At 46.8% G+C, this 15,243-nt stretch overlaps 1 protein-coding gene across 7 annotated transcripts in view, besides 1 other annotated feature; it reads right to left on the bottom strand.

Annotated features, from left to right (window-relative positions):
- The window catches only part of BTBD16 (BTB domain containing 16), a 66,864-nt gene extending 59,264 nt beyond the window's left edge, over positions 1-7,600 (bottom strand). For 5 of the 7 annotated variants that reach the window (NM_001318189.3, XM_011539239.3, XM_011539241.3 and 2 more), the window contains exons 1-3: positions 7,382-7,600; positions 3,797-3,856; positions 1,957-2,108 (exon numbers count right to left, since the gene is read on the bottom strand). In NM_001318189.3, coding sequence (NP_001305118.1) covers positions 1,957-2,108; positions 3,797-3,814 — 170 coding nt within the window. In that variant the 5' untranslated portion in view covers positions 3,815-3,856; positions 7,382-7,600. Of the gene's footprint in view, positions 1-1,956; positions 2,109-3,796; positions 5,150-7,381 lie in introns of those variants that run through there. The other 2 variants (NM_144587.5, XM_017015637.2) reach the window with 2 other exon arrangements.
- Positions 10,205-10,706: an enhancer, noted in NCBI's record as "H3K4me1 hESC enhancer chr10:124027705-124028206 (GRCh37/hg19 assembly coordinates)". NCBI's record gives its function as "activates a minimal SCP1, AML or CMV promoter by ChIP-STARR-seq in naive H9 embryonic stem cells {active_cell/tissue: H9 hESC(naive)}" and the evidence as "EXISTENCE:reporter gene assay evidence [ECO:0000049][PMID:30033119]".

Below are 15,243 nucleotides of genomic sequence, written 5' to 3'. Positions count from 1 at the left end.
CTATCTCAGGAGGAGGACAAGAGGCTCATGGAACAGAGCCCAAGTGCCCTGGCAGAACCAATCCTGAATCAGCTGAGCACCAGATGCGTGGCAGTAGACATACCCAGAACACCTGAGAGTATCTGCTGCCTCTGGACATGCAGCTTCCCAATATCACAAAGGAGAGGGCCAGATGTGTAAAAGCTTCTCCCCAGAAGACCGGCTCCTCTGCCCCTGTTGTGCTGGAGGAAGGTGTTGTCCTGGAGGAAGGAACTGGGGAAGGTGCAAGGAGGCAGAGTGAAATAAAGGGGGTGTTGACTGGCAGAGCACAGAGCTGAGACACCCCAAGATGAAATCACCGGGATTAATTACTAAAATGCTGCCCAGGCAATAAAGAAAATAGTTCTGTTTACTAAGCATCTACTATTTGCCAGAAACAGTGCAAAGCATTTTCAATATATGGCTTCATTTAATCCTCAAGATGACTCTTCATCTTGAAGAAGGTGCTCTATAACCATTTGAAAGATGAGGAAACTGAGGCCCAAAGAGGGTTAGCCACTGACTAAAGGTCACAGAATTAGTAAGTGAAGAAGTGGAGATTCCAGCCCCATTGATAGACTGCTTTTAACAGTCCAAATGCCCAGCACCAAATGCCATTTCAACACCCCACCCCTCAGGCCACTGCCTCCAGTTTAGCTCAGTGACTCACAGAGATTTAGTTCTTGCTGCCCAGACCCTCTCATCAGCTTTTGGGATCATTTTGCCTCTGTTCCTAGGCCTAGCTCCAGCACCTGCATCCCTGGCCGAGCCCTGGCACTAAGGAACTCGGCAACGGAAAAGTGTTGGCCAGTGGCTCTAGAGAGGGAAGATTTGGCTACTCGCTGAAGAAAGATTGAGCAGGCAGTTCTTCTGTGCCAGGTGCTGTCCCAGGAGTACAGTCCATGCTCACTTTGATTTGGCTGTGAGCTCACAAGACTGATGCTGCCAGCCTAAGGATGGTAACGGCATCAAGCCAGGTCCATGGCACCAGGGAAATGAGGTGTACCTTCTGCAATAGGGTTGCTACAAATTACATGTTTGTTTCCTCCAAACCTCGTGTAGAAATTTGATCCCCAATGTTGGAGGTGGGGCCTAATGGGAGGCATTTTGGTCATAAGGGCAGATCCCTCATGAATAGATTAATACCATCCCTCAGGGGTGGGTTCTTACTCTCTTAGTTCCCACAAGAGCCGGTTGTCAACAAGAGCCTGGGACCTCCCCTCTCTCCTCTCTCTTGCTTCCTCGCTTGCCATGTGATCTCTGCACACTCGGCTCCTCTTTGCCTTCCACCATGAGTACAAGCAGACTGAGGCCCTCACCAGAAGCTGAGCAGATGCTGGCGCCATGCTTCTTGTACAGCCTGCAGAACCTTGAGCCAAATAAACCTTTTTTCTTTATAAATTTCTGATCCTTAGGTATTTCCTTATAGCAACACAAACAGACTAAGGCAAGGGTCCAGCTCTGTGTTTCCAGGAGAGGCAAGAGAGAACTCATCACATGGAGAAGTGGGTCTAGCCTACTGCTCGGAATGCCATGAGATTGAGAGAGGATCAATTCATTGGGTGAAAATGGACATTTACAAGCTGTCTAAACACTGAGCCAGGACTAACTAAGTTTTGTTTGTCAAAAAATCAGTTGGTCCCTGGATAATAAACTCAGAATCCTGTTTGGGTTCAAAGTTCCCACTGGGAAGAAAAATTGTAAAAAAAAAAAAAAAAAAATTCAATCTTTCTCTGCACTTTTGTAACCACCCACATTCTCAGAGGTAGTAGTCACTTATGACCCTGTCCATGCCTGAGAGCTGGCTCCAGAGGGAGCCTTCCTTGCAGATGTGCCCTTGACAGCCACTGCAGCCAATCAGAGTGGCCCGGTCATCAGGCACCTCCCCTCCCAGGAATAATGGGCCATTCCCTCCCACAAACCTTTGAGTCTCCATACCTGTCTGGGTTCCTCAAAGCTTCCTCAAAGTCTATGCTCAGAGCCTTGCACATCTGGGAAAGTGAGAGCAGGTCCCCAGAGAAAGGCTGTTTGGGCAAACGCCACCGGTTGGTTGAGCCAGTGACCCGGCGTTCCAGCCGAGCTTTGTGCTGCTTGGTAATCAAAGAAAGAGAAGACATCTTTTTTTCTAACTTCACATAAATGCCAGATTTTCCAAATTGTATAGCAAGAAGGAAATCAAGACAAATTTTACAGTGCTGGTTAATTTTTGAACATGGCTAATATTTCTCACAAGACAACTCAAGGCAAAGACACTGTATTCCATAGACCAAGGATCTCAAGCTACAAAGTAATTTGGAATTTAGGATCTAGGACAAGAGGTGTCAGAGGGTAAGAGGTCAAGGAGAAAGACTGTTTTTTGCAGGTAGCTCTCTGAAGAATCCACAGGCAGGGATAGTATTAGGCTTTAAGTACTGTCCTTTGAGTACGTATCCTAACTTGTCATACAAAGAGATATTAAACTGTGGAGATCTTGGGCAAGGAATTTTTTTAATGGTGGTAAAATATACAAAACATAAAATTGTATCTATTTTACAGTGTACAATTTGGTGGCATTTAGAACATTTACAACGTTATGCAACCAATACCACTACCTAATTCCAGAACATTTTCATTATCCCCAAAAGAAATTCCATACCCATTAAATTGTCACTCCCTGTTCCCATGTCCCCAGCCCGGGACAACCACTAACCTGCTTTCTCAGATTAGCCCCTATGTTCTGACTTTATGTTTTCACCTGTTCTGGGTATTGCATACAAGTGGAATCACACAATATGTGGCCTTTTGTGGATGGCATCTTTCACATAACATAATGTTTTCAAGGTTCATCCATGTATTGGTACTTCATTCTTTTAAGGCTGAATAATATTCCACTGTGTAAATATTCCACATTTTGCTTATTCCTTCATCAGTTGATGGACACTTGGGTTTTTTATACCTTTTGGCTATTGTGAAGAGTGCTGTGAATATTCATGGGCAAGTTTTTTTTTGAACACCTGTCTTTTTATTCTTTTGGTTATATGCCCAGGAGCAGAACTGCTCAGTCTTAGACATTTTCTTGAGGCTCCAGGGGAAATTCAGCAATTTACATAAAAAAGAAGGACGATACCCAGCATGGATGTAAACCTTAGACTGAAGGCTCAAAGCAACCTAGCAAGGAAAAAAGCACGAGGAGGGACCCACAGGAATGGATGTCATTGATCCCAAGCCACCCAGGGCACCAATGGAGAGGTGACGAGACCATGGGCCACGGACTAGAGCATATGAGTTCAAATTTTACTTTCTAGTTGTGTGACCTTGAGCAAGTTACTTAACATTCTGAGGCTCTCAGTTCTCATGTGTAAAATGGAAATAATGGGTGGTGGTGGTGACGGTAATGGTTATCGTGACAACGACAGTGAGGATGGCGATGGTGGGGATTGTGGGGATATCATCTTGTTTCCAATGCTGTAAAAAGTATAAAGTAGGATAAAGTTTGGGAAATATGCCTTAGTATAGTGCCTAGAAGATGGTGGGTGATTAAAAACTGTGGAATCTGAGTCTAGATGTAGTCCGGCTGTCACGTAAAACGTCAAAGTAAAACATCGTCAGCTCAGACCACAAGCCTGCTCTCTGCCCTCTGGACGGTGCTGCCTGGACGCGCTCTTTCCAGCCGAGTCAGCCAATAATGCTTGAGGTCCTCGGTGGTGCAGAACCCAGCCCCTTGTGGAAATTTGTCAAAATGACCATAAGCAAATGCTTCTTCTCATCACCTACCTTCTTGAGAAACTGATCTACTCACCGTGTTCGACATTATCATGAATGAAAGTGGAAATTACGCAGGAGAGAAAAGACAAGCAACCTAGAAGACAAAAGAGGTAAAGGTGACATTTTCCATACTTTTCAAAATATTATGGAGGAGATTGGCCTAAAGAATCTATACTTTGCCACAGGAACAATAATGAATAAGCCTCGAATGTGGGTTATTTATCAATCAAGAGAATATCTTGTTGTTGCTGGGGTTTTTTGTTTGGTTTTGTTTTTTGTTTTTTTTGTAAGCAGGTGAATAGAGAGATCTCTGCTATTGTTCTGGGAAAGTGGCTCAGATAAAGCAAAACAGAAGATAATCCTTTGCCAAAGTGAGGAAGACCAAAAGATAGCTATAAGTAGGCTGATCACATAATTGATCATTCAGACGAGGAGACTAAAGGGATGATATTAATAATTAGGCCTGGACAATGGCTGTAGGCCAGGGCTGCCCTGGAGCTCTGTAGACTGATGGTCACCCTAGCTTACAGGGTCATGAAAGAGGAAGAGTGCAAGGACTTTCCAGTTATCTCTGAACATTATCAGGGCTGTTGGGTTACAAGCAACAGAAACCCATTTGATTATGGGGTTGCGGGGAGGTTAAGATTGATTGGAAGGATGGTGATGAGAGGAGGGTCTCATAGACTCAAAAGGAAACTGGAGAACTCTCCGGGAAAGAACAGGAAGCAGCTGCAGGGACCTGGGTGGCACGCACCAGGAGTTGGTGGCTGTTGTTGTCAGGCGCTGCCTCCAGCATGAGTCGGCTCTCCCACAGTCCATCTATGCAGGGTTCTTTTCAATCCAGATTCTCAGCAAGAGGCCCCAACTGGCCTGGCTTAGCTCAGGGGCCCACTCTTTGGCCCCTGAGGGCAGACACCTTGACTAATTCTCCCAACAAGAACGTGCACTGGGGACTGGGTAGTTCCCCAGAGCAACATCAGAGAAGAGGAGAAGTGGGTGAGCTGGTGAAACCAGCAGAAGCCACGGCACTTGATGACCAAGAACCTCAGCTGACCTCCCTTTGCTCCCCAAACAGCACTTCACCTGCATCACAGCCATGGCTATGTTCATCCATTCACCAACAAGCATCTCCTGTGCAGTCGCCATATGGAGAGAGGCGTTAGCCGTTTCTGAGAGACAGCAGTGAGCAAAATGCACACGATCCTTGCCTCATAGAATTTCCATTCCACTTGGGCAGACAGGTTTTTCTTTGCCTTTTAATTGCCTTAATTGGACTTTTTAATTGCAAAAGTATTAATAATATATGCTTGTTGTAACTAGTGAACCAATACAATGACAGGAAAGAAAAATTTAACATAGCTGCATAATATCACTTTTTCTTTTTTTGAGACAGGGTCTTGCTCTGTTGCCCAGGCTGGAGTGCAGTGGTGTGATAAAGGCTCACTGCAGCCTCAATCTTCTGGGCTCAAGTGATCCTCCCACTTCAGCCTCCCCAGTAGCTGGGACTACAGGTGTCCGCTACCACACCTGGCTAATTTTTTAATTTTTCTAGAGCCAGGGTTGCCCAGACTGATCTATATTGCCCAGACTGGTCTTGAACTCCTGATATCAAGCAATCCTCCTGCCTTGGCCTCCCAAAGTGCCAGGATTATGGGCATGAGACACTGTTTCTGGCCGCATAATATTTCATACAGTGAATGCATCATTATTTATTAAAATATTCCTCTGCCAAGTCATTGAGGTTATTTCCTATATTTTATTCCCATAATAAAAACAATGGGAACAATATGCATACACATTATTATGGCAGTTTGTGTACATGTGTGTATACATATATCTATACATGTTACCTATATCTGCATCTGTATATATATGTATGTATGTGTGTATATATATATATATATATATATATCTTTGTGTTGCTGTTTTTATTTCTATGAAATAGTCTTCCAAGTGGTATAGTTATGTCAGAGATCTGTATCTTCAATTGAAATAGTTAATACCAATTCACTTGCCCCAAAATTGCAGCAATTAACATTCCTATCACCAATTTATAAGTGTTGTCATTTTTTTCACAACATCTTTAGTACTAGGTAGTATCATCGTATTTATTTTTGCCAAGCTGGTGAGTGTCAGATGGTTTCAGATTCTTACTTTAATTTGAACTTTCCTGGCTACCAGTGGGGTTGAGCATTCTTTTATCTATTTATTGGCTGTTTAATTTTTCTTTTCTGAAAACTGCCTAATCATAGGTTTTCCGCAATTTTCTACTGGGTTACTGTAGTCTCACTAGCATTTTTTAAGGAGCCCTCTATGTACTGGGGACACTAACATTTTGTCTGCCATACATGCTGCAGAAGTGTATCATTTGTCTTTTGACTTTGTTTATGGTAAACAAATTGTTTCATTAGTATGAAAATATGTCCTGTGTGTGTGTGTGTGTGTGTGTGTGTGTATTTCCTTTGCCAGTCTCTAATTTGAAAACATATCTGGGGCCAGGCCCAGTGGCTCATGCCTGTAATCCCAGCACTTTGGGAGGCCAAGGCAGGTGGATCACCTGAGGTCAGGAGTTCAAGACCAGCCTAACCAATATGATGAAACCTTGTCTCTACTAAAAATACAAAATTAGCTGGGTGTGGTGGCGCATGCCTGTAATCCCAGCTACTTGGGAGGCTGAGGCAGGACAGTCACTTGAACTCTGGAGGTGGAGGTTGCAGTGAGCCAAACTCTCACCATTGCACTCCAGCCTGGGAAACAAGAGCGAAACTCTGTCTCGAGGGGAAAGAAAAAAGAAAAAGAAACGTGTCTGGGTACAAACATGGCCCTGGTGTTTGTACCCAGCTGCTGGTGTCTTCATCTGCAATTGCATCCATGTATGCATGTGTGTTAAGAGCATCTTTGGCTGTTCAACCAGCTTTCAGAGGTGCACTTGAGTTTACAGCAATGTGTGTTTTCCTTGATGGCTGAGTTTCCACCTTGCGTGAGGCTTCTCCCACCTCAGGTAACACATACATGCTTTTCTGATCCCTTTACCTCACAGGAGCCAGGATGATGAACTCCTCAGCTTAAAGCCCTTCACCAGCTTCCCACTGCCCTAGACATAGACCCCCAAATCCTCAACGTGGCCTTAAGGAATCTGAGAAGAGAGAAGAGGGTTCCATTCTAAAGCAGACCTGGTCAGCACAGAATAAACCCCACACGGGACTCGCTATGCCCACAGAGCACCGCTTCAGTTACAGAGAGAGGGAGGCTGGGGTTTGCACTCAGCTACCCAAAGCTCCTGCTTTCTTAGATCAATATCTAAGAACTTTTTTAGCTGATCTTGAAATCCAGAGACATCTCAATGGCCTGGAAATGTGTTCTTTTTTCATCCCACCAGGCAATCTGCCCCTTCGTGTGTTTTGAGAGCCTGTGCCAAGGTCCCTGTGGGCGGGCAGGAGCTACCTACAATGGTCTCTCAGCTCCCAGACCCCTCCTGATTCCCTAAACTCCCTCCCTGCCAAGTAGACCAGAGGCACCCAAGTCTAACACTGGGTCTAGACAGGTGCTAAGACAGCACCTGTCACTAGGACACATTTCTTGGTCTCTGAAGTGGCTGAAAAATACCCATTGTACTTACCGTTCCAAAGCCCTTTTGCCCACCACAGGCGTGTTTACAGGGGAAGTGTGCTGAGTGGAGGAACTCCCATCACACTGGCCTCTGAGTTACAGGAGAGCTGGGGGCGCCTTCTGAGCCTGAAGCCTGGAAGCGCTCATCACATCTGGGGCTCCCCCTTTTCTTCTTATGGGCCAAGGTGCTTTGACAGGGGGAGCTTGCCTTGGTTTCCTGGGTGGTTGTGAGCACCACGGCAACGGCAGGGAAGCTTCCAAGCACTTCCTGTTCCAGGGCCAGGTTTCAACTCAGGCTCGGGCTGTGTCCAAGGCCCTGGCTGATGGGGAGAAGCTGTGAGTGATGGCATCTCAGAGACCAGTGTGGGTGCCATGTGCCTCCATTCCTGTTCCTCACAGCACCTGGGGCAACCCAGGGCACAGCCTCAGTGAGAACCAACCCCCAAATCTTCAGGCTTCATCTGTCAAAGGAGAAGATTAGACTAGAAGCTTCTCAGATGCCTCCCAGCTCTGGCATTCTGGGGTGCTCTATTTCTAGCATTTTCTATCTGTGTTTTGACAAACATATTTCAATAAAAATTGAGCATTCCGCATTATTAAAAGCTATGCCTAATGAAGTACTTTGCTGATGATGATTTTTAATGCTGCTCTCTCTGGGAGCTAAGGACTGCCTAAAAGTCAAGGACAAGACCAAGAGCCTTCAAGCTGGCATCCAGAGTGGAAATGTTTGGGATTTGTTTGTTTTGTTTTGCTTTTTTTTTTTCTCTGAGATGGAGTCTCACTCTATCGCCCAGGCTGGAGTGCAGTGGTGTGATCTTGACTCACTGCAACCTCCGCCTCCTAGGTTCACCGGGTTCAAGCAATTCTTGTGCCTCAGCCTCCTGAATAGCTGGGATCACAGGTGCCCGCCACCACACCGGCCTAATTTTTGTATTTTTAGTAGAGACAGGGTTTCACCATATTAGCCAGGCTGGTCTCGAACTCCTGACCTCAGGTGATCTGCCCACCTCGGCCTCCCAAAGTGCTGAGATTACAGGTGTGAGCCACCGCACCTGGCCCTAAGTGCAATCTTACAGTGTCCTCAGCGACGTGGCCTGTGAAGCCCATGACCCAAACTAGGGGATGGGGAGGTGGAGGCCATGTGGGTCAGAGTCACATGGGTCACCACGGGTCCATCAAAGGCCTGGACCACCACCCCAGGGATCACAGAAATCCCTAGTTACAGTAATAGGAACCAGGAGGCAGTACAGCTTTTAAGACCCAAGGCCAGCCTCTCCTAGGCCACATACATCCTAAAGTAAAACGGGAAAGTAGCTGCGCTGCCTCCTGTGGCTGTGATCTAGAAACTACGAAACACTCTATAAATGGGAGGTACCCCTGAATTTGTCTCCCGCCTCAGCCCTCAAATCCTGTGATTCTACTCCTCCCAACACCATATTCTGCTTTGCACAGAAGCCGATCGCTGTGGAATGTTCTGTGAGTGGCTTACCCATCTCTGCATCCCCAGAGCCCAGCAACCAAACTTGGACTTTAGAAAGTGCTCAATAAACATCTCTGGAATTGGGTAATTGGATGTCCTAGTCCATAACCACCACTCTGCCTGTGTACCTGCTTGAGTGCCACATGCATAAGTGTGCACATGTGATTATGTATGCATAGGTGTGTGTGTCTGCTTCTGTGTTTGAGTACGAACATGGCCCTGGTGTTTGTACCCACCTATGTCCTCATTTGCAATTGCATCCATGTATGCACGTGTGTTAAGAGCATCTTTGGCTGTTCTAGTAGCTTCCAGAGGTGCACTTCAGCTTAGAGCGATGTCTCTTGGTTGTGCCTTGGATTTTGGGTTTGAGAGTGAGACGACAGGGTTTCATGGTAGTATACAACTGATCCCAGCAACTGCCACCGGGTTGGAGAAGCAGCTGATTGTCAGGCTTTTGGTGTTTAGTAGCAGCAGCAGCAGCTGGTGCTGCAGACAGGATTTGAGGTGGGGCCCAAAGGAGTCCACTGGTGCTCACCTCTCAGCCTAGCTCTTCTGGAGATCAGGAGGTAGGGAGGGACGTGCACAATGAGAGAACCAGTGGGAGAAGAATGTAGGCGACAAGGGGCTGAAGACACTGGCATGTCTTAGACAGGGGGGTTAGGAACCCAGTTCAGGGTCTGCCCACCATCCCTAGACGCTCAGGGGCAGCATGAGACCGGAAGCAGGCCTCTAACAACTGTTGCAGGGGCCTCAGGAGCCAGAGGCCGAGGCTGCATTCCTGAGCCAGGTGTGGGCCCTCTCTCATGCTTGAAAAACAAACACTTGTTGTTAATTTATTTTCCTTTTACAAACGCAATGCATTTACAGGCACAAATTCAGAGGCAAAAATTCTTAACAATAAAAATCATTTGGATTCCACAGCCGAATTCAGCACCATTAATAGTACATTGACATTTTGTATGTATACACACATTTTTGAAAATGCGGTCCTACTGTACTCTTTAACATGAGTTGTTCACTAAGTGTTAGACGCTTTCTCCTGCATTTTTGTACATGACTGTTAATGGCGACACTGTGCTTTTTTTTTGAGACGAAGTCTCGCTCTTGTCCCCCAAGCTGGAGTGCAGTGGCGCAATCTCGGCTCAATGCAACCTCCGCCTCCCGGGTTCAAATGATTCTCCTGCCTCAGCCTCCCCAGTAGCTGGGATTACAGGCGCCTGCCACAACACCTGGCTAATTTTTGTATTTTTAGTAGAGACAGTTTCACCATGGATGCTGTGCCTCTTGATGCAGAGGCAGATGGGGATTAGGGTAACCAGCCCCTTCTGCTGGACATGCGGCAGCTGGAGGTGCAGCCCACCCATCAGGCTGAGCTCCCCTCCGGGGCAGTGACAGAGGCTCATCCAGGCACCCACGCATGGCTGTGCACACACAGCTGCTGTGCACCTTCTCTCTTCCCCGACCATCATGTTGCTCTCCACTCCCCCTCGAGTCTGGTCCATGGCTTCCCTCCTAGCCCGGTGCCAAGAACATGGGGGCGGAGAGGGGCTGAGCAGAAGTCTGTGTACAAATGGACAGATTTCCTCTCTCTACGCTGCTCCTTCCCCTCCACCCCAAAGTTTTCCCTGCTAACTGTCCCTGGAATGTGGGACCCCATGTAAGATTTCAATTAACAAGTTTGAAAGACATTATTACCCTGGACCAGCTTGACATCCCACCTGCTCCACCATGGGCCAACCTAGGGATGCCCTCCAGGTATCACTTCTAGAGTGCAGCTGAGAGCGGGCCCCCTCTAGTGGCCACTCTGGGGAAGCGTCCCAGGATGCCACGCTCCCATCAGCCCCTAGGCAGAACCCTGGCCTTGGCTGAATCCATCGCTTTCTGCAGGGTCTAGTTCAAGGATCCGGGGCCTTCAGCTCACCCCCAGAACTCTCAACACATACATCCCCCACAGATCTCCCAGGAGCTGAGCTACTGTCCAAAGTCAAAGGCAGCAAATACAAATAAATGGAAATAGCTTTCAGCATGTTTCCCTGAGAGCCCTTTCCTGATGGTGTCAGTAACTGAGCCCCTTGGGCCCAGCCCATGAAGCAGCCAACAAGCTGGAAATCTGAAGAGCAAAGGTCATCAGTGACTCAGACATCAAATGTCGCTGAGCACTGCCCTTAGCTGGAAATACCTTATGCCAAAATCTCCTGTGTCACAGTTCCAGGGGGATTATGAAGGGATATCCATCTTCTTCTTGCACACTCAGGGATGGGGAGCTCATTACCTTGCCAGAGAGCCCATTTCAGCCCACTCCATCCAGTCACCCATATGGGGAGGTGGTGGAGTACACTGAAAAGAACACCCAATTCTGACCTGGTTCTGACTGGCTATAGCTGTGTGACCCTGGACACATCCTTAACCTCTATTGATGAAAAAAGAAAATCCGGAGCCTCAGTTGGCCTGGAAGATTGGACAGTCTGTGCCTGAGAGCCCCAGTGCACCCAGCCAGGGTCCAGGCTGCTGCTGGGAGTGCTGCATCCAGACCAGCCCCTGGCGGAGGCCTTGCATGAGCCAGCAGACAGACAGGGGCTTCCAGGAGGAAGCAAAGGGTCCTGCCCTGGAACTGAGTCCTATATGGCAACACAGCTGATCTCAGTGATAAGAAAGGAGAACACAGTCAGGCACGGTGACTCATGCCTGTAATCCCAGCACTTTGGGAGGCTGAGGTGGGCAGATCACCTGAGGTCGGGAGTTCGAGACCAGCCTGATCAACATGGAGAAACCCCGTCTCTACTAAAAATACAAAATTAGCCAGGTGTGGTGGCGCCTGCCTGTAATCCCAGCTGCTCAGGAGGCTGAGGCAGGAGAATCGCTTGAACCCAGGAGGCGGAGGTTACAACGAGCTGAAATCATGCCATTGCACTCCAGCCTGGGCAACAAGAGTGAAACTCCATCTCAAAAAAAAAAAGAAGAAAGAAAGAAAGAAAGAGAGAGACAGAAAGAGAAAGAGAAGGAAAAGAAAAGAACAGAACAGAATAAGACCGGGCACGGTGGCTCACACCTGTAATCCCAGCACTTTGGGAGGCCGAGGCAGGTGGATTGCATGAGGTCAAGAGTTCAAGACCAGCCTGGTCAACACGGTGAAACCCCATCTCTACTAAAAATACAAAAATTAGCCAGGCATGGTGATGTGTGCCTGTAATCCCGGCTACTCGGAGACTGAGGCAGGAGAATCACTTGAACCCAGGAGGCAGAGGTTGCAGTGAGCCGAGATCACGCCATTGTACTCCGGCCTGGGTGACAGAGCCAGACTCCATCTCAAAAAAAAGAAAGAACAAGATTGGGTCAGAACTGGCCATGAACTTGCTGTGGAACCTCAAGGAAGTCCTCTCTTTGGCTCTGGCTTCCTATTTTCTCATCTGCAAAAAAAGTTCAGATAAAACAACTCCTCCGCTCCATCTACTGTTGATCCTCTTTTCCAAGATGTTCTGGAGTGTGGTGATGCCAATGCCGCTAGCCCAGGGCTGCCTCATTCACTCCTTTAGACAAGGTCTGAGTGTCAAGATTGTATTGGGTGCTGGAGATAAAATGGGGACAAAGAGAAGGAAGTGCACTACCTTCACAGCCTCTGATGTTATTTGCTTAAAATTGTTCTTTAATACTGGACTTACATTTTTACATAACATTTTTGTTATGATGTTCTTAAATTTATTTTATCAATGAAGTAAAGTATTTGGTATGCTGGTTTATTTGGAATATACATTAAAATAACTACATAACTTAAAAAAAGTCATACATGAGCTGCCCCTGAAAATCACCTTCCGTGCCTGGGCACCTTACTTTTGGAGGTTTAACGTCTGCGTTGTAAGGCTCACAGTGTATTTAAGTCAGTGAGCTGCAGGAATTCGTAGGAGAGGCAGTCGACCGCATTAACCTGCTTTTTCATTCTGAGGCTTTGACATCTGGGGCCTTGCTCACCCTGGAGGGACTGCCCCTCCCAGGGCTAGCTATTAATAATTCCTAGAGATAGTAAAGGACTCCTACAAGCATGCCTTTCATATACAAACCAATTAAACTAGAGCCTATTCCCCAACCACCTCCCTTATCAAGCTGTCAAACTCAGGGTCACTATCCACTTGCCCTAATCACCCAGGGCCAAGTACTACCAGATGAGAGACAATCCCTATATCCCAGAGCCCACTGAAATTATTCAAACTCACCAATTCTAAACCTGATTACACTGCTTCACTCATTTCTTCCCATGGGATCCACAATAAAGGCTCTTGCCCATGTTTTCCCCTCACCCTTTCTGCCTCCTAACCCTACTGCTTCCCTGTGTGCCCTGTGCCCAGTGGTGGGGGTATGCCCCCTCCTCTTGGGAATTGTAACAAACTATCTTTTCAAAGGCAATTATCTCCTTATCTATTGGCCTCGCCATATCTCAATCATAACAAAATAATAATAAAACCTACATTTGTAAACACTTACCCAGGCCCAAGGCTTCAAGGAGGACTCCCTGGAGGAAGTGACATAACAGAAGAGAAGTTAGCTGAGAGACAAAATGATGGGGATAAGGGTGAGTGTCTCAGGCAGACAGAACAGCGTGTGCTAGGCTGGAGTGGAGAAATAAGGAGCCACTGAAGGAATGGCCCATGCAGTCTGATTGCAGTATAGGGTGAGAACGGAGGAAGGAGGAAGGAGGAAGGAAGGGGAGAAGCGGCTCGATATCCCAGGGCTCATAGAGGCCAAGGAGTGTGAGTTTTATCTAGTCCTATCTCTTTTGATCTCCAAGTTGCTTTTTCAAATAAACCCAAAAGACAGTCCGTGAACTCTCCAGATTCTGCCATTGAGAGTCCGGCCCTGAGAGCGCCGAAGCCCTGCCCGGCTGGTCACCACCAACCTGGGGAGGTACCACTGGTCCACTGACCACCCAAGGGAAACAAACAAGATGAGGAAGAAGAAGTCCACTCCAACGCATCTAACAATGTACACCCTAGGTGAGCCCCCCTGCCGCTTCCATCCATTGAACAAGAAGGATGCTTTCTACAGTCCATAAATGCAATAGAGGAGTCAAGTCCAGACTTGAAGGCAGCACCACCAACTAGACTAAAGAATGGACGTAAGGACCCACCACATGTGCTCGGTAGCATCCTCACCCCTGTACCTCATCTCCCCACCACCTTCCTTGTAAAGAAAACACTTCTCCAGGGATTGTAAAGGATGTGGGCCTTTCTGTCAAGACCTGGGATGGAATCCTGGCTGCCTTGTTTCCTGATTGACCTGAGCAAGTCTTCTAACTTCTCTGAGCCTGTTTCCTCCTTGTAAAATAAAAATAGTTTTCATTCACCAGATCATTTCAAAGCTAAAAAGAGATAGCACTAACTTGAGTGAGTCATTGTGGGTACTCAAATGTTAATATCTTTCCTCCTTCCAACAATCCCTGTGCATACACACACTTTGACCCTGCCCATATGCATCTCCACCCTGCTTTAATTTTTTCTAGTGAGAATATTGTGGAAAACAAAGAGGCTTTGCTCAGGATCTGGGCAAGATGGCAGAATAGGAAGCTCCCGATCTTGTTCCCCAACAGGGAAATTAACTTGACAATACACAGCTCAAAAAGCCTTTTGAGACCCCAGAAATCATTTAAGAAGCTGTTGTACCCCCATGCAAGCTCAAAGCAAAGAATAACCACATTGAAACAGGCAAGAAAAACCATTTCATATAAAAACGAGATAGCCCTTCCCCACAGCCAGCACAACTTGGTGCAATCAGGAGCAAAAATGTCATGACTTCTTCATTGGGAAAGAAAAAGAAGAATGGAATGTACACTCAACATTTCAGCTTTTTGGCATGATGCCCACAGGACTAGTTTCTGTCTCATCTTACTTGGAGCAATTATGAGGAACTGGCATATTTTGGATGCCTGGGGGTCACTGAGAGCAAAAGAGAGCTCAGTGTCTTGTTGCAGTCCCAGAGAACCTGCAGCACTACCAACAGACATTAGAAGGAACAAGAGCCTACAAGCTCCTAAAAAGAAACCAGCAAGCCTTTCTATTTGGGAAGTTATACACACAAGCCCAGAGAAGACACACCCTCAGAAAATGTTTGTGAGGTCCCCAGAATCACTGGCTGAACTGACTGGTGAAAGTTTTTCCCTGTAGGATGCTAGTCTATAAAGACTGGGAAGAGTGACTGCTGTGACTGTTTTTCAAATGAACAAATCACAGCAAAAAATAAAATAAAACAAAAACCCACGGCACATGAAACAGGAAAACATAATCCAATCAAAGAAATAAAGTAAATCTGCAAAAACTGCCCCTAAAAAATAGAGATCTATGAGTTACCTGACAAGGAAATAAATATAATCATCTTAAAGAAGCTCAATGTGCTACAAGAGAACA

This window comes from Homo sapiens, chromosome 10 (genome assembly GCF_000001405.40).
Source record: "Homo sapiens chromosome 10, GRCh38.p14 Primary Assembly".
Classification (NCBI taxonomy): domain Eukaryota; kingdom Metazoa; phylum Chordata; class Mammalia; order Primates; family Hominidae; genus Homo; species Homo sapiens.
The sequence above is the reverse complement of the archived record's forward strand: the minus strand, read 5'-3'. Positions and strand labels throughout refer to the sequence as shown.